Below are 26,378 nucleotides of genomic sequence, written 5' to 3' on the forward strand. Positions count from 1 at the left end.
CTATTCTTCTTGACTAATTTTCAGACTGTCTGAATTTGCATTTCACATGGTAGCTGATTAGGAGATGCCGAGTGCAGCAGTGAAGCCTCAGCAGGCGGTTACCATGGTGACCTTCAGCAGGATTTTAATGATGATACCACTAGTGGTTCGTTGAAGTCGGCCTGCCTGCAGGGCTACTTCACTGCAGCTAAGTGTGAAGTTGGATATGCGGATTCTCAGCCAAGGGGCAAATATCAAAGTCTGGCCCAGATAGAAGGTCTTAGAGTTGGGAAAGGAAAATAGATTCCACTTTTTACTTCACTCTATATAGTTACCAGTTTCGAAAAGAGCTGTAAAGCAAAACACATTATATGGTGTACTTTCCAAAAAAATGTGATTCCTCGTATTGGTAAAATGTGTTGTCATTCCCTGATGAAATAGAAAGCTGTAGTTTCTAGGTAAATGTGGAAAATAATTCTTACTAAAGAAATGAATATAAAAATATGCGGACTGTATAACAATGTTACTTTAATCTATTTAGTTATGTAGAAGAGTTCTCAAAACAAGAGCTTTGAAATGCAGATGTGCTAATAAATATTTTCTCTCCTTAAGCAGGAACTCAATTTGTAAAATAATTATTCAGAATTCATGGTAGCCAAAAATCCCAAATTTGGTAGTGCTATAATGTCTTAAATTTTTTAAGTAAAGTAGGCTTTTTAGATCTTTTAAAAATCTAGAATATCATTTAATTTGTTAGTATGGCAAAATACAGGAACTAATAAAAAGTGAAGTACAGAGTTTTTCAACAGTGAACTTTTAATTAAAAGACAGTTTATTTTGTTAATTTTATAGCTACAATGATAACAGAGTGTGTAACTATTTGAAAAATAAAAAAATTTAAGCAAATCAACTTATCAGGTATGTATTTATGAGCTTACCAAATTTGTGTAGCTACTGCCAAATTTTTAAGGTTACTGCCCAAACAAGATTTTAAGGGAGGATTTCATGAGAATACTAGCCATACCTGCCAGTCAGCCTCAGTTGATAGGAATCCTCAGGAACCCTACACAATTTATTTCTAGATATAGTCATTCTATCTAAGAACCTAGAGTTTAAAAGCTTGGGATTTTTCTTTTAATTTCCTATCTTATATTCTAAAACATACATAACAATTAAGCATTAAAACAAAAAATGAGAAGTTTTAGAAAAATAAGCCTGAATGTCAAATCTTTTCTTTTGAATTATGTGAGTCTTAGTGTGTACAAATAATTAGGGTTCTGGATTGAAATATTTCAGCTACACATAAGTGATATTAGGGAATCTATATTTTATGGCTGACTTAAATATATTTATTTCTGATTTCTTTTGATGTTTTGTATTTTCTCCTTTTCTAGTAATGATCTCATCCATGTATCAATGGGCAATTACTATGTTTAGCAAGAGTCCTGGGTTGAAAAGATAGATATCTTTCCTTAGATGTCTCTTAGTTTAAATGAAACTTGGTATTGTTGGTGACAGTGAAGCAAACATTTTCTTATGTATAAGGAATTGTGACTCAAAAGGCCCGTCGTAAACTGACCTGGGCTCATCTCTCAAGAATTATTGATCATCGGATATTCTTTTCTTCTTTCTCTAACTCTTATCAATGCAAGTTCTACTAGAAGTTCCATAAATTTTCATGCTTTTATAGATGATGTTTCCTCTTTCTGAAATACCTCTTTTTCCTGTTCTTTCCAAAGAAACTCACTCTTTTCCTTTCAAACATAGCTTGGACATAAAGTTTTCCTGCACAGTTTTCCCTGACATCCTTTCTTCTCTCCCCATAGCCTCCTCCCTTGGCAGTTACGCCATGTTGTAGTAGCTTCCTTGCATGGATGCCTCCCCCTGCAGACTGTCAAGCTCCTGCCCTTGAGGATCAGTAACTCTGCTGCTTATCTGTATATCTCTAGGGCCTGGGGCCTGACACATTTTAAAAGGCTTAGTAATTGATTGATTGATTGATTGAGGGAATGTGGCAGGAATCTCAGAGTTAGATTAAAGGATGAACCAATAAATGACAATTGAATGAGTGAGAGAAACTTCTCCAAAGAACTCTCTGTAGAGTAAGGCAGAAAATTACTCACAAGATAGGCCAGAGGATGTGATAGTTTTCTTTTATTGATATTACTTTCTATTTTACATAGGCATCATTTTCTCTGTAATGCCAGGTGTCCATTTACTGGGAAATAAGATAAATAGACTGTTTTCCTTCCATTTCAGTATTTAATTTCTTTGAGAGACATTGGAGTAGTCATCAAAATTATCTATTTGTTCACAAACTTATCTCATGAAACTCTAAAATAGTAAATAGCTATATTGTTAATTATTTTGAAATTTAACTGATACTGTTAAAATGTCAGCATTAATATCAAGCAAAATATATACTTCGTTTCTTTCAATACTTTTTATTTGTTATTAAAAATTCCTAGTTTAAATAGAGAAGGCATAAGAAAGGTTGACACAGTGGTGCCTCAGTGGTTGCTTTAGCATAACATTTATGGGCCGGGCGCTGTGGCTCACGCCTGTAGTCCCAGCACTTTGGGAGGCCGAGGCGGGCGGATCACGAAGTCAGGAGATCGAGACCATCCTGGCTAACACGGTGAAACCCCGTCTCTACTAAAAATGCAACAAATTAGCCGGGCGTGGTGGCGGGCGCCTGTAGTCCCAGCTACTCGGGAGGCTGAGGCGGGAGAATGGCGTGAACCCAGGAGGCAGAACTTGCAGTGAGCCGAGATCGCGCCACTGCGTTCCAGCCTGGGCGACAGAGCAAGACTCCGTCTCAAAAACAAACAAACAAAAAAGCATAACATTTCTTTTCATGTTAGGTTTGAGGAGATAGATTTGGAAGAAAGTTCTGTAAGTTGAGTACAGGGTTTGCAGATGAAAGTTTAAGAAATGGAAATGAGAAAGAAGGATAAAGGGTGCCCTTCATTGAAGAAAATTGAGTAAAGATAAATTGAGGACTAAAAACAATGCTTTGAGTGAAAAAGAAATTTAAGCATTTATCAAACATTGGAAAGACGGTTAAAATGTTTTTAATAAAGTAGACTATTATTACAATAGTGCTTGCCGATCTGAACTAGTGGCTATGGCAGATGTTTATTTAGTAATAATTGTAAATGTATTGTAAATAAGAAAGACTATTGAAGGATACAATATTTGTGGTTATTGTGATTATATTCTGATTATATTTTCAAAAACTTGATAGTTCAGTAAGTCTGATTAACGCTTTTTTAGGTGAAGAAACCAACAAAATGTGATTTTGGAATCGGAATTATTAACCCAGTGATCAGTTTCCACATCACTTAATGTCTCTTTTGTTTCACCTTAAATTTCTGTTCATTTTATGACTTTATACCTCCAGCCCACAGATAGAAAACTATTTGTTTTTTAAAAAGATCAAGTAATGAGCCCACTCAAAAAAATTAACCCATAAAATATCAACCTGAAAGGTCACATTCAATCAAATAACTAATATGAATGAATCATAAACTTTTACCTCATAAATACTAATAAATATATTTTGGTTTTATCTCCTTTCTATTATTTTTGACTTTCTTTCTTAGGTGGACACTGTCCCTCTCCTTTTTTTTTTTTTTTTAAAGTTAGAGAAATGGAAGGCAGGAGGGGAGGGTTCTTTCTGGCTTCTCCTGGAATAGTTTAGCAGTGCAGCCTGATAATATCTTTTCTGCTGCTTCACTCAAATGTTTAAGAATTTCTGGCATCATTTCCTATATTGTTGAAACAAGAAAAGTCTTGATTTTCTGGAGTATTTAAAATGAACACAGGGATTAAAAAGTACAGGTATTTTTTCCTATGGTTGATTATGTATGAATAACAAAAATAAATTTTTAATTGAACTAAACTGATTTCAGATATTTATAGGTTATTGGAGAGTATAACATATTTATGTGGCTTTGAATAAAATTACAATACTGAATTTTTTTCAACTTTTGAAATCACATTTTCTTTAATGCGATTATCAATTTTCCTGCTAAAGAAGGGCAATGTCATCATTCCCACTTTACATATGAGTAAGTAGAGACCTAGACAATGTTTAGAGCAAACACTGGACATCACAGTGGTACCTGTGCGGCATGGCATCCCCCTGTTTGTGTTACAAGAACACAGAGCCCAAAGTAAACTCTCAGGTGTTTTATGAATGAGCATTTCATGATTTTTACTCTTAGACTTACTAATTCTTTATTTTTCTCCTCTCTGTTCTTAACCCTTTCACTCACCATCTTTATCTGGAATCTCCTTCCCTAGAAGCATAGCAGGTTAGAGGGCAGAGGCACAATGAGGTGTTTGCTTAGAATACTCTTCTGGCTCATGGTAACTCAGGGGCAATGTAACATTGAAAGGAAAGAATGAGGAAACGGCAGAAGGGTAGGAATTATTTCCATACATTTGAGTATGAAAAACCAAGCATATATCTCAAGATAGCAAATATGTTGATCCATAATATATTGAACAAAAAAAGTTACAGTTTGTCATAATTTTACTAATACTTTGTTTTCAAATGGCTACTGTTAAGGAAAGGAAATCACTAAATGAAAGCTTTAAAAATATAACTGGGTTTCAAACCGAATATTTATAAATAATTTTTGTTTATTTTAAATTTAGAATAAATTTAAAGAAGATTTTTAAGGGAGTTAAGTCAGTAACAAAAACCATGACCTTTGTTTTGGTTCATGAAAAGAACTGCTTTATGTAAATATGAAAAAAAAACAAGATGAAAGTGTCAGGTAGAGATTATTTTTGCATCTTTGAAGTTAAATTAAGTTTATAAAACTTTTTTATTCATTTGAGCAGTCCAAATATTTTTAGTTTGTAATTGCTAGATTTACAAATTTTAATAGATCTATATAAGTTTTCTGGAGTTGTTGCTGGAAATTAACCACAGTTGTTTAAGTTGGCGTTAGAGGATTTTTTTCTAATACATTTTCCCAAGATTATTTAAAAGAAGGACATTATTTTATATGGCACAAATAATGTCTGAAGGTAATTCTGTACAAATATTTCTGCAGTCTCTGCAACCATGTAATCAAATGCTGAAGTAAGAGTATTTTACTTTAAAATGTAGAGAGAGATATATAATAAAATCAATAATATATAATTGTGCCATTATTTATTAAAATTAACAGTATTATCTCAAACGCTATTAATAACATTTGATTTTCTTTCCTATAAATTGTTTCGGTAAATTTAACATTCTCATCACAGTATCAGTTGGCCACCTTGCTGAAAGTTGCCATGTAAGATTAGATCTTTAAGCTTTGAATGTTCTATTTTTGTTTAAAAAATATAGTTAAGCAGTCCCTTTGTTCACCTATGCTTCTGAAGCAACACTGGGGACTTGCTCCTTGATGACATGAATCCAAAACGGTGTCCTATATTTCACATGTCCTGTGGGATCCTACAAAATCATGTAACTTTCTGTAAGACTTTCACAGTTTTCAAAAGACACTGAATGATCTTCAGCTGTGAAATATAGACATTACATTACCTTATATCTGTGTAAGATTACTTTCTTTTCCCTTTCCCTTTACCCCCAATTCAATCACTAGTGACACTTTGGTGTACAAGTTGGATACGCCTAATCATTTTGTATGAATATCTAAAGCTCCAAAATATAATGTACTTTAATGTATTAGACCCACTTTGGGGTGCTAAAATGTGTCCTTGGGTAGATGGAAATTGGGTATATCCTGGAGGCTGACATAACATAATTGGTCTCAGAGGGATTAAGATGGGGGTGAAAAAGAAACAGTACCAATAGCACTAGTCTTTATTATTCTGTTGAGAATTGTGTTAGTGACCTAAAGCTGTAATGCACAAAGAGCCCTATTGTTATTACCTGTACGTGACTGAACTTGATCTGTAATTGGGTTATCACCCTGACAACAATGACTGTTAACATTGTCTTCTTTTTAATATTTCTGGTATCAACCTATTTGCTTTGATATCTCTTTAGAAATATACAGATCGAAATGTATTAGTATTTTCTCTACTTTATTGAGAACATTCATTAATTTCCTTATGGTTAATGACCTCGTAATCCCTTAGGAATGTTGTAGAGAATCCATTTTATTTTTACTTTATATACTTTGTTTCATTTAAGTGTTTCTGTGTTGCTTTTTAAATTTTTGTGAAGCATCTGAATTAAACAGTTTTCTCTGATTTTGCAAAGGCTTTTGTATATTCAGACCTTTACTTTTGCCTTATTTTTAACATATAAAACAATTTTTATAAAAGCAACAAAGTAGACATTTTTTACAAACAAGTAGAAAGTGATGCAAACTAAATTTTCTGAGATAACATAAACCATGAAATGCTTACTTAGTTGTATTTATTCTTATTAATGTTGTAATATCTACGGATATTGGAATTATTTCTAAAATTTAAAGCAATAAATACAAAGCTAACTCCCTCAATTCCAGGACAGGAAAGGTTTTGAACAAGTGATTGATTAATACTATTAGAAATTGAAACCTGACATGAAGGAATAGATATGAAGTTCTTAATGTTATTGTCTGATCACATTTTCCTTGAACATGGTTAATAATGTAGTACTTAGAATCATTGCACAGTATTGGATAAATGTTAAAAGTTTTTAAAATAACTTTATTCCTTCCGGAGGTTAACAGAAACTTTTAAAAAATGTGAAATAAACAGGGAGATGTCTAAGATCTTTATCTCATTTTGATTATTTGATATCTGGAAAAAAAAAACTTAGAGGTATTTCTTATGTTCATCAGGTCACTATGTAAGTTTGTAATCCGGAGTAAAGAAATTGTTCTGTGACAAAAATTAACTATATTTCATTTGGAGGGAGTTTACTGCCATTTCATGAGTCAGATTAGAAATAACATTAAAATTATCCCTCTAGTCATAATAATCTGAATATTTTGGTGTCATCATTTAAATATATCCCTCACAGATAAAGTAGGCCTGTGTCTTATTGGGAATTTTGCAGAACTCGAGAGAAAATTTTTTGGTTTGTTTTATGATCAGAATTGGCCTATGAAATGTGAAGGCAGATCCATTAATTTTAGAAACCCGAGGAATTGGTGTTAGAGCTAACATTCTTTTGAAAGTCTAATAACCTAACAATCTATCTTTGACTGTGTGGAAGGTCACCCCACCTTTGTGCAGAGGTGGCCGTGAGGGACCCTGCAGATCAAGTTAGAATTTTCCCGGGCAGTATAATATAGTACTGTATATAAAAGCTTGGGCGCTGGAGCTAGACTGCTTCGGTTCAAATCCAGGCTTTGCCCCTTATGCCTTTGTGGCCTTAGGAATGTTACTACTCTATAAAATTGTACATACCAGTAGTGTCCACCCCCATAGAGTTTTTATGAAGATTGAATAAATTAAATCATGTAAAATGCATAGAGTCGTTCATAAATATTACGTATTAGCTTTTAGGAAATAGTTTTTCTTTACTCAAGCATTGGAACTAGCATTTAGTTGAAACCCTAGAGTTATCTCAGAGACCATAAGGAGATATATTTTGATCTGAAAATGTTCAGGGGACTATATTTTCAGTTCTCCATTGGAGTCTTAGAAAAACTAATAATTCCGTGGAATATCTAAGTACTATAACCCCAGGTATGTTCACTAGCTTCAAAAAGTGACCCCTTAGTAACCACGAGTCAACCTATTATGTGTATTTAACATTGTAAAAATGGGTTTTTCTCTTCTTCTAATTAATAAATTTTAAACCCTAGCTCTTCATACAATTCCTGGTTTATAATACACAGGTGACTATTTTATCCTCCTATTCATGATGGCAGGAGCACAAATAACTCTACGATCTTAAAGTGGTATTATAATTTTGTATTCATTAAAAGAAGAAGGTGTGAGATGTGACCTTGTTTATGATTGTTATTTAGTCTTACAAGAGACTATTCATGGATCCATATGAATTCACATTTTTAAACCAAATTATTAACATTAAAGGCATAAAACTTAGTCTGTGGTTGTTTATAACACAAAAGTAGGTTACTTGTGATTTTTCCCCTTATTATAACAAAAGACTTTTGCAACTTATTTTACCCCCACTAGAGTAACAGGTCTATTTAAGTATATCTTTAGAACAACAAATAGTTATTTCATAAATACCAAGGAAGATTACATCAAATTCAGAATTCAGCCTATATAAATCTATTCTGTAATTTACAACCCACTTTTCTTTAAAAATATTTGAGATAATTTATTGCAATGGACATGACTTACCTGTTGTTAAAAGGAACATTTAAGTAAAATTCAGAGCCAGGGATAGAAGGGAATGTAAATGTATACCTGTTATGACCAACAGACTTGCTGTGATTGAGATTCTCATTTAGTTATTGCTTCCTTTATCTCATGGCACAAAGGGAAACATAGTAAGCAAATTAGTTTCTGCTTATAAGGGGGAAATATACTATTAATAGTTCCTCACAGAAGACAAAGTTTTCTCCTACTAAATTATGGTATAAATATCTCATATGAAGATCTTTGAGTAATGTACTAAGCAGTGTCTTCAACATCAATTTTACAGCAAATACCTAAGTGATGTTTGATAAAATCCAAAAGCAAGTATCAAAGCACAGTTTTGGAAAGGCACTTTGTCAGCAGGATAAACAAATGTGCTCCCAGGATGCAGCCTTCTGGTGGTCTAATTTAATTAAAGGATAGAACTTAGATTATCCAAAGTTGTAAAGATAAATTTTATTCATTACAGAGTCTTCCCTAAATTTTAATTCTCAACAAGAATTTCATAGGACCCACTACACGGCACACTATTTAAGGTTATATGCTCTTTGATAAGAATCTATTCTGCCGATTTGCTTAAGGGAAAACAAACAACATGTCAGGTGGACACCCTTAGTGAAATTTGAGCCATCTTACCACTGCGTTCACTGAATAAAACTCAGACCAATCTCTGAGTGGAATAAACTATGTTACTTTCTCCATTCTATGATGACCTGTTAATATCTAGTCACTCATGTCTCCTGACTGGAACTCAGATGATACCTTAAATCAAGTGGCATCCCTTTATAATGGAAATGATTTGAAATTAGTGTTACTAATAATCATCATGTATATATAGCTGTATTAAGCATCATGAGAAATTCAAACCAAAAGACCAAGTAGGTAAAAGTAAAAGTAAACAAGCTGTCAACAATGGCAAGTGGTAAAAGACCTGCCTGGAAAAAATCAAATGCCTTGGGTTCCAACTCAAGTTCCACCTTTAATTTTTTAATTCATTCTTGGATTTTTCATCTATAAAATGAGACTGTTGTGGGAGATTACAGTGCTTTAAAAATAATTGTTAAAATTATATGGAAGGTTTTGTAAAATGATAAGTTCTATATAAATATGAAATATTTTTATCCAGAATGGTACCTGCCATTAAGCAAGACTAAATCAACACATGAGTATTGAAGAGAAGCATACAATTAAAAATAATTGTTTAATATAGGTTACAACTTTTTACTTGAGCTGTCTCCTTTATCTTCATAATCTGGATCTGGTAGAGTCACAAAAGTTATTTAATGTATACAATTCAGTTATCTCGATATGAATGCAGAATTAAACCCAAAATTCAGGCGTTCATATTTCTACTCAAATCTCAATGTGTCAGTATCTCAAATGTGATGACTTCAAAAACTCAAAGTATCCTTCTTGCCCTCTCCAGGCCACACCTCCTTTAGTGTTACCACTTCTGTTATCCCATTTCAGATACCCTGGTGAATATTTCTGATGAATGCTATTTCTTGCCTGAAATCTTAAAGGAACTTAATTGAGCATTCTGCTGGCATTGTTCTCTTTTTGTCTGTCTTTGTACCAAGAAAATATGTGCTGAAGCACGACTCATGATTTCTCCCTCTTGCCTTAAATACTGATTTCCCATTGTCTGTGTGAATAGATTTCAAACCCTTAAATCTTTCTTTTCTTTGACCTCAGCTTATCATTTCATCCCTGTTGCTCCTCAGTCATGCATAAGTACTTGCCATTGCTTTCACACACATCATACTTTCTTTGGCCAAGAATCGAATTCTGTTACCTCTGCTTAGAATTCTCTCCCCCCCTTTTATATATTAAGATTAAGTTCTTGCTTCAAACCTCAGCTCAGATGCCACCTCCACAAAACCTTTTCTTTTTTCCTCAGCCAGAAGTTACCCATTCATTCTTTCATTCATTCAGCAAGCCAGTGAGCACTTACTGTTCATCCGGTATCCATCCTCTAGATCTTGCAGTTTAATAGAAGAAAACAGACATTTAATGAAGTACAATAAAGTGTTATAAGGACTTTAATACAAGTATGTGAAGGGTACACTGGGGGCCAAGTAGAACAGAGTTAAGTTCCACGTAGCAAACACAGTAATGAGGAAGGACTTTAGAGAAGAGATATACAGTGAGCAGATGCATGGGTAAGGCAGACAGGTGAGAGAGCTAGGGGTTTTGAGGGAGGTGTTATAAACAGAGGAGCAGCATAAACAAAGATATAGGGGCATGAAGCAGTTTGGCAAGCACAGAACTACAAGTGCTTTATTATGGTTAGAAAATAGGGTGGGGTGGGGGAAGGGAGAAGGAGTTTGGGGCTAAATAGGAGCCTGGAAAGGGAAGCAGGAGACTGATGTCAGTGGCTCATATTATGCCAGGCCAAGGGCCTTAGCTTTTCTTTTCTTTTTTTTATTATTATTATACTTTAAGTTTTAGGGTACATGTGCACAATGTGCAGGTTAGTTACATATGTATACATGTGCCATGCTGCTGCGCTGCACCAGCTCGTCTTCTAGCATTAGGTATATCTCCCAATGCTATCCCTCCCTCCTCCCCCCACCCCACAACAGTCCCCAGAGTGTGATGTTCCCCTTCCTGTGTCCATGTGTTCTCATTGTTCAATTCCCACCTATGAGTGAGAATATGCGGTGTTTGGTTTTTTGTTCTTGCGATAGTTTACTGAGAATGATGATTTCCAATTTCATCCATATCCCTACAAAGGACATGAATTCATCATTTTTTATGGCTGCATAGTATTCCATGGTGTATATGTGCCACATTATCTTAATCCAGTCTATCATTGTTGGACATTTGGGTTGGTTCCAAGTCTTTGCTATTGTGAATAATGCCGCAATAAACATAAGTGTGCATGTGTCTTTCTAGCAGCATGATTTATAGTCCTTTGGGTATATACCCAGTAATGGGATGGCTGGGTCAAATGGTATTTCTAGTTCTAGATCCCTGAGGAATCGCCACACTGACTTCCACAATGGTTGAACTAGTTTACAGTCCCACCAACAGTGTAAAAGTGTTCCTATTTCTCCACATCCTCTCCAGCACCTGTTGTTTCCTGACTTTTTAATGATTGCCATTCTAACTGGTGTGAATTGGTATCTCATTGTGGTTTTGATTTGCATTTCTCTGATGGCCAGCGATGGTGAGCATTTTTTCATGTGTTTTTTGGCTGCATAAATGTCTTCTTTTGAGAAGTGTCTGTTCATGTCCTTCACCCACTTTTTGATGGCGTTGTTTGTTTTTTTCTTGTAGATTTGTTTGAGTTCATTGTAGATTCTGGATATTAGCCTTTGTCAGATGAGTAGGTTGTGAAAATTTTCTCCCATTTTGTAGGCTGCCTGTTCACTCTGATGGTAGTTTCTTTTGCTGTGCAGAAGCTCTTTAGTTTAATTAGATCCCATTTGTCAATTTTGGCTTTTGTTGCCATTGCTTTTGGTGTTTTAGACATGAAGTCCTTGCCCATGGTATGTCCTGAATGGTAACGCCTAGGTTTTCTTCTAGGGTTTTTATGGTTATAGGTCTAACGTTTAAGTCTTTAATCCATCTTGAATTGATTTTTGTATAAGGTGTAAGGAAGGGATCCAGTTTCAGCTTTCTACATACGGCTAGTCAGTTTCCCCAACACCATTTATTAAATAGGGAATCCTTTCCCCATTGCTTGTTTTTCTCAGGTTTGTCAAAGATCAGATGTAGATACGTGGCATTATTTCTGAGGGCTCTGTTCTGTTCCATTGATCTATATCTCTGTTTTGGACCACTACCATGCTGTTTTGGTTACTGTAGCCTTGTAGTATAGTTTGAAGTCAGGTAGTGTGATGCCTCCAGCTTTGTTCTTTTCGCTTAGGATTGACTTGGCGATGCGGGCTCTTTTTTGGTTCCATATGAACTTTGAAGTAGTTTTTTCCAATTCTGTGAAGAAAGTCATTGGTAGCTTGATGGGAATGGCATTGAATCTATAAATTACCTTGGACAGTATGGCCATTTTCACGATATTGATTCTTCCTACCCACGAGCATGGAATGTTCTTCCATTTGTTTGTATCCTCTTTTATTTCCTTGAGCAGTGGTTTGTAGTTCTCCTTGAAGAGGTCCTTCACATCCCTTGTAAGTTGGATTCCTAGGTATTTTATTCTCTTTGAAGCAATTGTGAATGGGAGTTCACTCATGATTTGGCTCTCTGTTTGTCTGTTGTTGGTGTATAAGAATGCTTGTGATTTTTGTACATTGATTTTGTATCCTGAGACTTTGCTAAGTTGCTTATCAGCTTGAGGAGATTTTGGCCTGAGACATTGGGTTTTTGTAGATATACAATCATGTCATCTGCAAACAGGGACAATTTGACTTCCTCTTTTCCTAATTGAATACCCTTTATTTCCTTCTCCTGCCTAATTGCCCTGGCCAGTGCTTCCAACACTATGTTGAATAGGAGTGGTGAGAGAGGGCATCCCTGTCTTGTGCCCGTTTTCAAAGGGAATGCTTCCAGTTTTTGCCCATTCAGTATGATATTGGCTGTGGGTTTGTCATAGATAGCTCTTATTATTTTGAGATATGTCCCATCAATACCTAATTTATTGAGAGTTTTTAGCATGAAGGGTTATTGAATTTTGTCAAAGGCCTTTTCTGCATCTATTGAGATAATCATGTGGTTTTTCTGTTTGGTTCTGTTTATATGCTGGATTACATTGATTGATTTGTGTATGTTGAACCAGCCTTGCATCCCAGGGATGAAGCCCACTTGATCATGGTGGATAAGCTTTTTGATGTGCTGCTGGATTCGGTTTGCCAGTATTTTATTGAGGATTTTTGCATCAATGTTCATCAAGGATATTGGTCTAAAATTCCCTTTTTTGGTTGTGTCTCTGCCCGGCTTTGGTATCAGGATGATGCTGGCCTCATAAAATGAGTTAGGGAGGATTCTCTCTTTTTCTATTGATTGGAATAGTTTCAGAAGGAATGGTACCTGTTCCTCCTTGTACCTCTGGTAGAATTCGGCTGTAAATCCATCTGGTCCTGGACTCTTTTTGGTTGGTAAGCTATTGATTATTGCCACAATTTCAGCTCCTGTTATTGGTTTATTCAGAGATTCAACTTCTTCCTGGTTTAGTCTTGGGAGAGTGTATGTGTCAAGGAATTTATCCATTTCTTCTAGATTTTCTAGTTTATTTGCGTAGAGGTGTTTGTAGTATTCTCTGATGGTAGTTTGTATTTCTGTGGGATCGGTGGTGATATCCCCTTTATCATTTTTTATTGCATCTATTTGATTCTTCTCTCTTTTTTTCTTTATTAGTCTTGCTAGCAGTCTATCAATTTTGTTGATCCTTTCAAAAAACCAGCTCCTGGATTCATTAATTTTTTGAAGGGTTTTTTGCGTCTCTATTTCCTTCAGTTCTGCTCTGATTTTAGTTATTTCTTGCCTTGTGCTAGCTTTTGAATGTGTTTGCTCTTGCTTTTCTAGTTCTTTTAATTGTGATGTTAGGGTGTCAGTTTTGGATCTTTCCTGGTTTCTCTTGTGGGCATTTAGTGCTATAAATTGCCCTCTACACACTGCTTTAAATGAGTCCCAGAGATTCTTGTATGTTGTGTCTTTGTTCTCGTTGGTTTCAAAGAACATCTTTATTTCTGCCTTCATTTCGTTATGTACCCAGTAGTCATTCAGGAGCAGGTTGTTCAGTTTCCATGTAGTTGAGCGATTTTGAGTGAGATTCTTAATCCTGAGTTCTAGTTTGATTGCACTGTGGTCTGAGAGATAGTTTGTTATAATTTCTGTTCTTTTACATTTGCTGAGGAGAGCTTTACTTCCAAGTATGTGGTCAATTTTGGAATAGGTGTGGCGTGGTGCTGAAAAAAATGTATTTTCTGTTGATTTGGGTTGGAGAGTTCTGTAGATGTCTATTAGGTCCGCTTGGTGTAGAGCTGAGTTCAATTCCTGGGTATCCTTGTTGACTTTCTGTCTCGTTGATCTGTCTAATGTTGACAGTGGGGTGTTAAAGTCTCCCATTATTAATGTGTGGGAGTCTAAGTCTCTTTGTAGGTCACTCAGGAGTTGCTTTATGAATCTGGGTGCTCCTGTATTGGGTGCATATATATTTGGAATAGTTAGCTCTTCTTGTTGAGTTGATCCCTTTACCATTATGTAATGGCCTTCTTTGTCTCTTTTGATCTTTGTTGGTTTAAAGTCTGTTTTATCAGAGACTAGGATTGCCACCCCTCCCTTTTTTTGTTTTCGATTTGCTTGGTAGATCTTCCTCCATCCTTTTATTTTGAGCCTATGTGTGTCTCTGCATGTGAGATGGGTTTCCTGAATACAGCACACTGATGGGTCTTGACTCTTTATCCAATTTGCCAGTCTGTGTCTTTTAATTGGAGCATTTAGTCCATTTACATTTAAAGTTAATATTGTTATGTGTGAATTTGATCCTGTCATTATGATGTTAGCTGGTTATTTTGCTCGTTAGTTGATGCAGTTTCTTCCTAGTCTCGATGGTCTTTACATTTTGGGATGATTTTGCAGTGGCTGGTACCGGTTGTTCCTTTCCATGTTTAGTGCTTCCTTCAGGAGCTCTTTTAGGGCAGGCCTGGTGGTGACAAAATCTCTCAGCATTTGCTTGTCTGTAAAGTATTTTATTTCTCCTTCACTTATGAAGCTTAGTTTGGCTGGATATGAAATTCTGGGTTGAAAATTCTTTTCTTTAAGAATGTTGAATATTGGCCCCACTCTCTTCTGGCTTGTAGAGTTTCTGCCTAGAGATCCGCTGTTAGTCTGATGGGCTTCCCTTTGAGGGTAACTCGACCTTTCTCTCTGGCTGCCCCTAACATTTTTTCCTTCATTTCAACTTTGGTGACAATTATGTGTCTTGGAGTTGCTCTTCTCGAGGAGTATCTTTGTGGCATTCTTTGTATTTCCTGAATCTGAATGTTGACCTGCCTTGCTAGATTGGGGAAGTTCTCCCGGATAATATCCTGCAGAGTGTTTTCCAACTTGGTTCCATTCTCCCCGTCACTTTCAGGTACACCAATCAGACGTAGATTTGGTCCTTTCACATAGTCCCATATTTCTTGGAGGCTTTGCTCGTTTCTTTTTATTCTTTTTTCTCTAAACTTCCCTTCTCGCTTCATTTCATTCATTTCATCTTCCATCGCTGATACCCTTTCTTCCAGTTGATTGCATTGGCTCCTGAGGCTTCTGCATTCTTCACGTAGTTCTCGAGCCTTGGTTTTCAGCTCCATCAGCTCCTTTAAGCACTTCTCTGTAATGGTTATTCTAGTTATACATTCTTCTAAATTTTTTTCAAAGTTTTCAACTTCTTTGCCTTTGGTTTGAATGTCCTCCCGTAGCTCGGAGTAATTTGATCGTCTGAAGTCTTCTTCTCTCAGCTTGTCAAAGTCATTGTCAGTCCAGCTTTGTTCCGTTGCTGGTGAGGAACTGCATTCCTTTGGAGGAGGAGAGGCGCTCTGCTTTTTAGAGTTTCCAGTTTTTCTGCTCTGTTTTTTCCCCATCTTTGTGGTTTTATCTACTTTTGGTCTTTGATGATGGTGATGTACAGGTGGGTTTTTGGTGTGGATGTCGTTTCTGTTTGTTAGTTTTCCTTCTAACAGACAGGACCCTCAGCTGCAAGTCTGTTTGAGTACCCGGCCGTGTGAGGTGTCAGTATGCCCCTGCAGGGGGGTGCCTCCCAGTTAGGCTGCTCAGGGGTCAGGGGTCAGAGACCCACTTGAGGAGGCAGTCTGCCCGTTCTCAGATCTCCAGCTGCCTGCTGGGAGAACCACTGCTCTCTTCAAAGCTGTCAGACAGGGACATTTAAGTCTTCAGAGGTTACTGCTGTCCTTTTGTTTGTCTGTGCCCTGCCCCCAGAGGTGGAGCCTACAGAGGCAGGCAGGTCTCCTTGAGCTGTGGTGAGCTCCACCCAGTTGGTGCTTCCCGGCTGCTTTGTTTACCTAAGCACGCCTGGGCAATGGCGGGCGCCCCTCCCCCAGCCTCGCCGCCACCTTGCAGTTTGATCTCAAGACTGCTGTGCTAGCAATCAGGGAGACTCCATGGGCGTAGGACCCTCCGAGCCAGATGCGGGATATAGTCTCCTGGTGCGCCGTTTTTTTAAGCCCGTCGGAAAAGCGCAGTATTCAGGTGGGAGTGACCTGATTTTCCAGGTGCCGTCTGTCACCCCTTTCTTTGACTAGGTAAGGGAACTCTCTGACCCCTTGCGCTTCCCGAGTGAGGCAATGCCTCGCCCTGCTTCGGCTCGCGCATGGTGCGCGCACCCACTGACCTGCGCCCACTGTCTGGCACTCCCTAGTGAGATGAACCCGGTACCTCAGATGGAAATGCAGAAATCACCCGTCTTCTGCGTCGCTTACGCTGGGAGCTGTAGACTGGAGCTGTTCCTATTCGGCCATCTTGGCTCCTCCTCCCCATCTATGGTGGGCCTTAGCTTTTCTAAGAGGTATGAGGAGCCATTGAAATGCTTAAAGTTGAAGCATCACCTGGCTAGTTAGGCAGTGCTAGAGAAATAGGAAGACAACTGAAAGCAAAGCCGTCAGCTGGAAGACTATCCAAGAGTGTGGCAGTGGAGATGGTGTGGCAGGAGCAAACAAAAGGTTTAAGGAGCCTGAGACCAATAGGACTGGTTGCTGACGGTTAGGCAGGTGGGAAGGAAGTATGATGAGATGTTTGATATGAATTTCAAATTTTTGACTTAAGAAGTTGGAGGTGCTGTTAGGAAGAGCTGGTTGGGGAGAAAAAAATACTAATATTTCAGTTTTAAACATGTTTAATGTGAATATTTACGTGCAGCTCTACTCAGAAGGCAGTTGGAAGTATGGGAACAGAGCCTGCAAAGAGGTCTAGGCTGGAGACAGATAACCTGTGTTCCTCAGCATGTTGGTGGTTATTGAAGGCATGGGAGTAAGTGCAGTTGTTGAAGATAAGAAGGAAGAGTGAAACAGGAAAAGAGTTAAGGAAAGGAAAATATTTAGGGCATACCAACATTTGGTAGATTTTTCAAAGGAAGATAAACCTCCAAAAGAAACTAGGAAGAAAACGTCAGGGAAGAGAAGGTCTAGGCCGGAATTGAATGATGTAAATCCAAAAGGATAGAGCTGACCAGGATGAAAGGGATTGGAAATGGTCTCAGTCAAATCAAACACAACCATACTGGAGGAAGGGAGGGAGAGACACAGAAGGACAGTTGTGTGTGCTTACATTTCTGATGTGACACAGCATTTTAAGAAACAGGCTGTGTCCTTGGAAGACAGAGACTAAATTGGTATGAAGGTGAAGATTACAGTCAGGTAATCAAAGAGATTTATATTGATTCACATCAAATAAATGTGAAAGTGACCCAAGATGAGGGTTGCAGTACTTGGAATGGAGAAGGATACTGTCAGCTGTGTGGGTATCGATACCTCCGTGTACGAGGTGCAACAACTCATAGTTAAACAGATTTTAGAAAAAGAGGAAAGTAATTATTTCCTCCTCTGGGCAGCCACACTTAATCTTTTACCTTTATCTCACAGATATCTCTTGAGATACCTATCACTTTGTAGTTTATAATAGAATTATTTCTGTGATTTCCTCACTTTCACATTTGTTTCTTTGTTCTGTCTATCTTCCGCTAGATTGTAGGCTGTTTAAGGGCCTGTGCTGTGTATTTTTCATTATTGCTTTATCCTTACTACCTAACAAAGTGTCTGGTACATAATAAATACTCCATTGGAAACTATTGAATGAACAATTGAATGAACGGATGAAAATGGAAGAGGGGGCAAAAAGAAAGAACAAAAGAGTCAGATGGTTAGAAAGGAAAATGAGTCATTCTCTCACTTCTCATGCTGGACAACAAGCCTTCCCTTGTGGACAGGTCCTTTGTCTTATCCGGTGCCATCAAGTATCACCAGCATAGTGTCTCTTGCAGAGTAGATCATCTAGAAATGTTGCTGGAGTGGATAAGTGGGAGCATTCCCAAAGCATATTTTAATTTCGTAGGTTTTCTTTCTTTTTATACTTTATTAATTTTTTAATGTAACAAATAATTGAGGAAAAGTTATCAACAGATTGATTCATAAATATAGTAAAGTATGCATATTCTGTATTTCACATATCTGATTTTATATGGTGATAGCCCTTTTGATTCTTCTGGAAAAGGAAACTCTTTATGACAAGATACACTTCGTATTTGGTGGAGATTGAATCAATAAGTGGGGAAGGAAAAGCAAACTCCAAGGTGCTGTGGCTCTGCCTGTCGCAAGGTCACCAATTGACCTGTCATCCCTTTGAAAGGCCATCCTTAAAGGAGCAGTTTAGAAGCATCTGCTCACTGGCACTCCCACTACCTATTTACCTTATTCAGTGTCTTTCTCCCTTTTTGTTATTCCCAATTCTTGTCTTTTTACTTTGGTGAACTAGAGAATCACTGTCTGCTTCAACTAAACGTGCATCATTATATCTCTAATCTTGGTTTTTCCTCATGCCAGGAGAACTTAAGGGCCAGTCATTCATTCTTAGTGGTTGGAAATTCTACCCTATTCTGAATTATTACACAGGAAAAGTTAAGGTTTCTGAACCAGCTTGAAGGATGTGGCAGTGTTAGGAAGTCAAAAAATTGTTTACTGCATGCATCTACTTGTATTTTAGCTAAATATAATGAACTTTTTGTACCATGGTTATCTTTTCCTGCTATTCTTTCTGCTTGCTTTCTTGTTTTTATCTCTAAAGAAAATATCTGACAGCTAGATGACCCATTAGAACACATTATCTTTTAAATTATGTGTCATTATGTAAGTGCTTTTCCCACTTTCTTCTGCATTGTGTATTACTGGATATATTTATTTTTTTTTTTTTTTTTTTTTTTGGTAACCTGGTAAAATGCCAGTCTCTTTCTGATGTAAATTTCTCTTAGATCACCATAATAAAATGCTTTGTGTATTGCTGTACCCCTTAAGGGTTTTAAATGCTGTTCTCTGCTCTTTTGGAAGGAATATAAATTAAAATCTTCAGGCTCTCCCAGTGGGTGTAACATTACTATGAAACATTGTTGAATTTCCAAGTGTAGCTAAAATTGATTCATTAAATTTCATTCTGCTAGAATCGTAAAATGTAAGAGATTAGGATGAGAACAGCCCTTATAGGTCATCCACTCCAACTTCCCTATTTAATAGATGAAGAAATGAACCTCCAGAGACAGTGACTTACCCAAGGGCACAGAGCTACAAAGTGCCTTCAACAAGACTGGTTTCCATTTCACTGTACTCCTTACCAAACTCTGACCCTTCATCTGGCAGACTCTTTGACCCACCTCCTCTTTCAGAATGACATTTCTCAGTGCCATTAGCCTTCTCCATAGCACTAGCAACATCTTCAGCCCAAGCTTTTTAATCATCACTTGTATTTTCTCTGGTTGAAAGTTATTTTATGGTAGAAATTGAGAACTATGAAGAAATTGTGCTAATTTAAAAATTTACTAAGTGCTATATCGTGGCCAGAGTTAATGCAAATTCTCAAAATGTCTAAACTGTTCCTAAAGAGACCTACAAAGCAAAAGAATATAGTTTTTCCTCTTAGTTTATTGTCTATGAAGATCATATACAATGTTATGATGACACATAGTTTCATAAACTGATGGAAATTAGAATTGACAATAAAATGCTATGTTCTTCTACCCGATGGATCGAGGACCATATAGGAGGGTAGTTTCTTAATTTATTGAAATCTGCTTTTATTCTATGATATAAATAGAATAAAATAGTAAACCTCAACTCTCTCATCTATAAAGTGAGGACATTTAAATACTGTGTACACAATTGAGGATTGGAATAACACTTATAACTTCCCATATAATTTATTATAATTAGTTTAAAGGAGTGTTTTTTTCTCTAATACAAAATTTAACATAAAACTTTTAATATATATTTGTACAAAATGGTTCATTATAAATGTATGTCAACTCTAATTGCCTTCCATTTAAACTTACAATTAAGTCTGTTGTAGTAGATTCTAGATCAAATATGTATGTGTGTATTTACAGTTAACTTGGAGACTTATAGTTATAAGACTAGTGTCCTCAGTGACTGCTATCTTCTGATTAAACTCTGAAAAATTAAGAGAGTCCATTTTAAAGCCTCTGATTGTGGAAAATACTTCTTGGTTGACATTAATACTGTCCATTCAATGCACTTCATAGAACATTTAACTTATTGTAAGATCATTGGCAGCAGTCTTATATATATTTCTAGTACAGTGAATGTTTAGTCAGAAAATGTACTTTCCTTGTAAAATCTATAGCTATTCATAATTTCTTCCTCTCAGTAAACTAACCAAAAATAGTTGTCTTAATCAGGTTTTATTGTTTTTCTTTCTTCACAGCTCCGACAGTTAGTTAATATGTGCATCAACCCAGATCCAGAGAAGCGACCAGACGTCACCTATGTTTATGACGTAGCAAAGAGGATGCATGCATGCACTGCAAGCAGCTAAACATGCAAGATCATGAAGAGTGTAACCAAAGTAATTGAAAGTATTTTGTGCAAGTCATACCTCCCCATTTATGTCTGGTGTTAAGATTAATATTTCAGAGCTAGTGTGCTTTGAATCCTTAACCAGTTTTCATATAAGCTTCATTTTGTACCAGTCACCTAAATCACCTCCTTGCAACCCCCAAATGACTTTGGAATAACTGAATTGCATGTTAGGAGAGAAAATGAAACATGATGGTTTTGAATGGCTAAAGGTTTATAGAATTTCTTACAGTTTTCTGCTGATAAATTGTGTTTAGATAGACTGTCAGTGCCAAATATTGAAGGTGCAGCTTGGCACACATCAGAATAGACTCATACCTGAGAAAAAGTATCTGAACATGTGACTTGTTTCTTTTTTAGTAATTTATGGACATTGAGATGAACACAATTGTGAACTTTTGTGAAGATTTTATTTTTAAACGTTTGAAGTACTAGTTTTAGTTCTTAGCAGAGTAGTTTTCAAATATGATTCTTATGATAAATGTAGACACAAACTATTTGAGAAACATTTAGAACTCTTAGCTTATACATTCAAAATGTAACTATTAAATGTGAAGATTTGGGGACAAAATGTGAGTCAGACACTGAAGAGTTTTTTGTTTTGTTTTAATATTTTTGATATTCTCTTTGCATTGAAATGGTATAAATGAATCCATTTAAAAAGTGGTTAAGGATTTGTTTAGCTGGTGTGATAATAATTTTTAAAGTTGCACATTGCCCAAGGCTTTTTTTGTGTGTTTTTATTGTTGTTTGTACATTTGAAAAATATTCTTTGAATAACCTTGCAGTACTATATTTCAATTTCTTTATAAATTTAAGTGCATTTTAACTCATAATTGTACACTATAATATAAGCCTAAGTTTTTATTCATAAGTTTTATTGAAGTTCTGATCGGTCCCCTTCAGAAATTTTTTTATATTATTCTTCAAGTTACTTTCTTATTTATATTGTATGTGCATTTTATCCATTAATGTTTCATACTTTCTGAGAGTATAATACCCTTTTAAAAGATATTTGGTATACCAATACTTTTCCTGGATTGAAAACTTTTTTTAAACTTTTTAAAATTTGGGCCACTCTGTATGCATATGTTTGGTCTTGTTAAAGAGGAAGAAAGGATGTGTGTTATACTGTACCTGTGAATGTTGATACAGTTACAATTTATTTGACAAGGTTGTAATTCTAGAATATGCTTAATAAAATGAAAACTGGCCATGACTACAGCCAGAACTGTTATGAGATTAACATTTCTATTGAGAAGCTTTTGAGTAAAGTACTGTATTTGTTCATGAAGATGACTGAGATGGTAACACTTCGTGTAGCTTAAGGAAATGGGCAGAATTTCGTAAATGCTGTTGTGCAGATGTGTTTTCCCTGAATGCTTTCGTATTAGTGGCGACCAGTTTCTCACAGAATTGTGAAGCCTGAAGGCCAAGAGGAAGTCACTGTTAAAGGACTCTGTGCCATCTTACAACCTTGGATGAATTATCCTGCCAACGTGAAAACCTCATGTTCAAAGAACACTTCCCTTTAGCCGATGTAACTGCTGGTTTTGTTTTTCATATGTGTTTTTCTTACACTCATTTGAATGCTTTCAAGCATTTGTAAACTTAAAAAATGTATAAAGGGCAAAAAGTCTGAACCCTTGTTTTCTGAAATCTAATCAGTTATGTATGGTTTCTGAAGGGTAATTTTATTTTGGAATAGGTAAAGGAAACCTGTTTTGTTTGTTTTTCCTGAGGGCTAGATGCATTTTTTTTCTCACACTCTTAATGACTTTTAACATTTATACTGAGCATCCATAGATATATTCCTAGAAGTATGAGAAGAATTATTCTTATTGACCATTAATGTCATGTTCATTTTAATGTAATATAATTGAGATGAAATGTTCTCTGGTTGGAACAGATACTCTCTTTTTTTTCTTGCAATCTTTAAGAATACATAGATCTAAAATTCATTAGCTTGACCCCTCAAAGTAACTTTTAAGTAAAGATTAAAGCTTTTCTTCTCAGTGAATATATCTGCTAGAAGGAAATAGCTGGGAAGAATTTAATGATCAGGGAAATTCATTATTTCTATATGTGGAAACTTTTTGCTTCGAATATTGTATCTTTTTAAATCTAAATGTTCATATTTTTCCTGAAGAAACCACTGTGTAAAAATCAAATTTTAATTTTGAATGGAATAATTTCAAAGAACTATGAAGATGATTTGAAGCTCTAATTTATATAGTCACCTATAAAATGTTCTTTATATGTGTTCATAAGTAAATTTTATATTGATTAAGTTAAACTTTTGAATTGATTTGAGGAGCAGTAAAATGAAAGCTATATCTATTCTAAACCTTATTTAGACATTGGTACCAGTTACCCAGGTGAAAATATGGAGTAACTTTGTTTTGTATGGTAAGGTTTAGGAATGGTGGATGAAGGGTATCTCTATATAAATAAAGTGCTCAACAATGTGCAATGATTGTAAATTTAGTAAGATATTACAGCCATTTCATGAATGCTTTACCATTCAACATAGTATCTATTACAAAACACCTTTCTTGTATCCATATACTTCAGGTGTTGCTGTTAACATTTACTATGATATTTATTTTAACCAAAATGTTACTCACATTAAATGTTTATTCTTTAAAATGAATGTATTATGTTTTTAACCCACAAATGCATACTTACCCTGTGCCTCATATTTCAATAGTACTGTAATATGGACATCTTTTGTGAAATACTTTTATTTTGTTATGCTTTAAATATACATACAAAAAGATTTCTGTTATTAGCTTTGAAAATTGTATAATATCCTAATATAAACAAAAATATAAAAATAAAAATGAATACAGTAAAATGTCTGGGTATCTATGATTTTTTCCCCTAAAGTCTTCCATTTTTTATTTTACTTAATACTTAATGTACAGAAACAGTTCTTACGCATTTTCATAACTTTGCCATTTTGGAGAAGCTTAAGAATTGGAATAGACAAGGGTGATAACAGAGATTACACAAATCCTAAAAAGTAGTTTTATCAACATGCATTAAACTAAGGACATCTTCAGGACATCATTTTCTGTTTTTGAATGAGAAACGTTTTCTAAAAGGTAAAAAAAAAAAAAAAGGAATATTAATCTTACTGCTTTGAATCTTTAGAGCAGGGGTGTCCAATCTTTTGGCTTCCCTGGGCCACATTGGAAGAAGAATTGTCTTGGGCCACACATAAAATGTGCTAAGACTAACAATAGCTGATGAACTAAAGAAAAAATAGCAAAAAAAAATCTCATAATGTTTTTTAAAAGTTTACAAATTTGTATTGTACTGCATTCAAAGCCATTCTGGGCCGCATGCGGCTCATGGGCTGTGGGTTGGACAAGCTTGCTTTAGAGTCTAAAATTTACATGACAGATTCAATTCCTGTCATTGTAATGGGCTGCTAAGAATGTTACAGATGGTTTATGTTGAGTGTTATCTTCACATAATAAATGAAGGTTACTGCTATACCTGAAAACTGAGTCTGAAAGATCTTAGCGGGATGAAACCTACCAGACTGTTGGTACAGTGAGTGGATATACCTTACACATCAGAATTATATTCCAAATATACCGTCATGAAGAATGACCCATTTTGTAATAATTTTAGTCACAAGACAGTGGGGCTAGTTATGAATTTTTATTTCAAAAAAGTATACTTGTTTTTAGGCATATATGCTTAAATATATTAATTGGTACAGCTGTAAGTACCATTAAATTGATGCAATTACTTTTTAAAATCAGAATGATGACATTATTAACAAAGACAACTGCAGTGAATCCCTTGAGTTATCGAAAGACTTCCATGAAGTTGTTGCGTTCTTTTTAATTACATGTGAATTTCTGGAAAATTAATGATGATTAACAGACAAATATGTGAATGTTTGCAAAGTTTCTATTTAATTGAGAGATTTATTTGAGGGAGTTTTCTTTCTGGTCTTCTTAGATACCAATTTCAATGTTCGCTTGGGTACCTAAATCTATTTTTAAACCTTGAAAAAGTCAAAGGAAATTTTAAAGTTAGGATTCGTAACCAGGGGGTTCGAGTACCTTATTTTTACTATGAGTGTTACAATGCATAGGAAATCATTTTTTCACTCCTTTCTCAAAATGAAATCCTGTATATAAATTAATTAATTGCTCATATCCTCACTTTCTCACATATATTATAGGGATATCATTTCCTAACTCTACAGGATAATTGTAATGCATTTTATAATGACTAAATGCAATGCTGCATATTCTCTTCTACACTCGCGTAATAAAGAGCTACATTTATCAAGCACTAATAGTGATAAATGTAGCAGAGCTACATTTATCAAGCACTAATAGTGATAAATGTAGCTCTTCATACACGAGTGTTGAGAATTTGTGTGTTTCTTCTCTCGCTATATTTCCATCTACTTTTGCCTTGTTCTCTCCATTAGTCCCACTGGCCTAGTTTTTCTTTTTTTTTTTGAGACGGAGTCTCGCTCTGTCGCCCAGGCTGGAGTGCAGTGGCGGGATCTCGGCTCACTGCAAGCTCCGCCTCCCGGGTTCACGCCATTCTCCTGCCTCAGCCTCCCAAGTAGCTGGGACTACAGGCGCCCGCCACTACGCCCGGCTAATTTTTTGTATTTTTAGTAGAGACGGGGTTTCACCGTTTTAGCCGTGGCCTAGTTTTTCTAAGGCCCCAGGCTCTTTCTCACATTAGGAACAGTGTAGCTTAAATGGCTCCTCCCTTTTTGCTAGCAAAAAAAAAATCCAACTAATCTTTCAAAGCTGACTTTAAATACCCTTTTTCAGGAGCCACCAAGTACATTCTGTACTTTTCCATTTAGTGCTTACCCCAACTGTAGCCAAGTGATTGCTTGCGTGATTCTTTAATTTCAATCTCCCTGATAGATAAATGCTAGAACGAAAAATACTTCCTGCGTTGTTCACTATGGTGTTCGACACTTAATAGCACAGTGCCTGATTTGTGGTACTAGTTTATTTTTGCTGAATTAATAAATGAGCATTATCCAAGCACCACAGAGTGTTGAACATAGATGCAAAACATCAAAAATCAGGAAAGACTGGGACAAAGAAACAGGTAAGAGATGCAAAAACAAAGAAGCTAAACCAAAAGAAAATTTTGAAGTTATCATTTTCATGGGTTGCAAAGAAATTGAAAGTGATAAGGAATGAGATTAGGCCCCTGGACTTAATGAGAAACACATCGTAACGTCTTCAGAGCAGCCATGTCAGGAGACTAGAATAGGAAACATTGGGGTAAAAATAGGAATGACGGCATATGGAGAAAAATCAGATGATAATCGGAAGTGGTAGCAGATCGTTTTTTTAAAAATTAAGTTTAAAAGTTAAGAGAATTAGCAAATGAAGAAGAAACTGAAGGTTTTAGAGAGGGAGTGCAAAAGGTGGTAAAGAATGGGATCCACAGAAAGGATTGGTCTATTAACCACAAACAATTATCAAGTAACCTGTGTACTAGACCCACATGTACAGTCTTAAGCAAAATGATTCTGTTTTTATGGACTTAAAAATCAAGTTG

General features: G+C 35.8%; 1 protein-coding gene across 14 annotated transcripts in view, besides 1 other annotated feature; it reads left to right on the forward strand.

The window, feature by feature from the left end:
* Window positions 1–23,670, forward strand: part of NEK7 (NIMA related kinase 7) — a 165,423-nt gene extending 141,753 nt beyond the window's left edge. For all 14 annotated transcript variants that reach the window (XM_047446560.1, XM_047446563.1, XM_047446572.1 and 11 more), the window contains one exon: window positions 20,662–23,670. In XM_047446560.1, the coding sequence (XP_047302516.1) occupies window positions 20,662–20,772 (111 nt within the window). In that variant the 3' untranslated portion in view covers window positions 20,773–23,670. The remainder of the gene's footprint in view (window positions 1–20,661) is intronic.
* Window positions 15,747–16,403: an enhancer, noted in NCBI's record as "OCT4-NANOG-H3K27ac-H3K4me1 hESC enhancer chr1:198283627-198284283 (GRCh37/hg19 assembly coordinates)". NCBI's record gives its function as "activates a minimal SCP1, AML or CMV promoter by ChIP-STARR-seq in naive H9 embryonic stem cells {active_cell/tissue: H9 hESC(naive)}" and the evidence as "EXISTENCE:reporter gene assay evidence [ECO:0000049][PMID:30033119]".
* Window positions 23,671–26,378: the final 2,708 nt, after the last annotated feature.

Source organism: Homo sapiens, chromosome 1 (genome assembly GCF_000001405.40).
Source record: "Homo sapiens chromosome 1, GRCh38.p14 Primary Assembly".
NCBI classification, from domain to species: domain Eukaryota; kingdom Metazoa; phylum Chordata; class Mammalia; order Primates; family Hominidae; genus Homo; species Homo sapiens.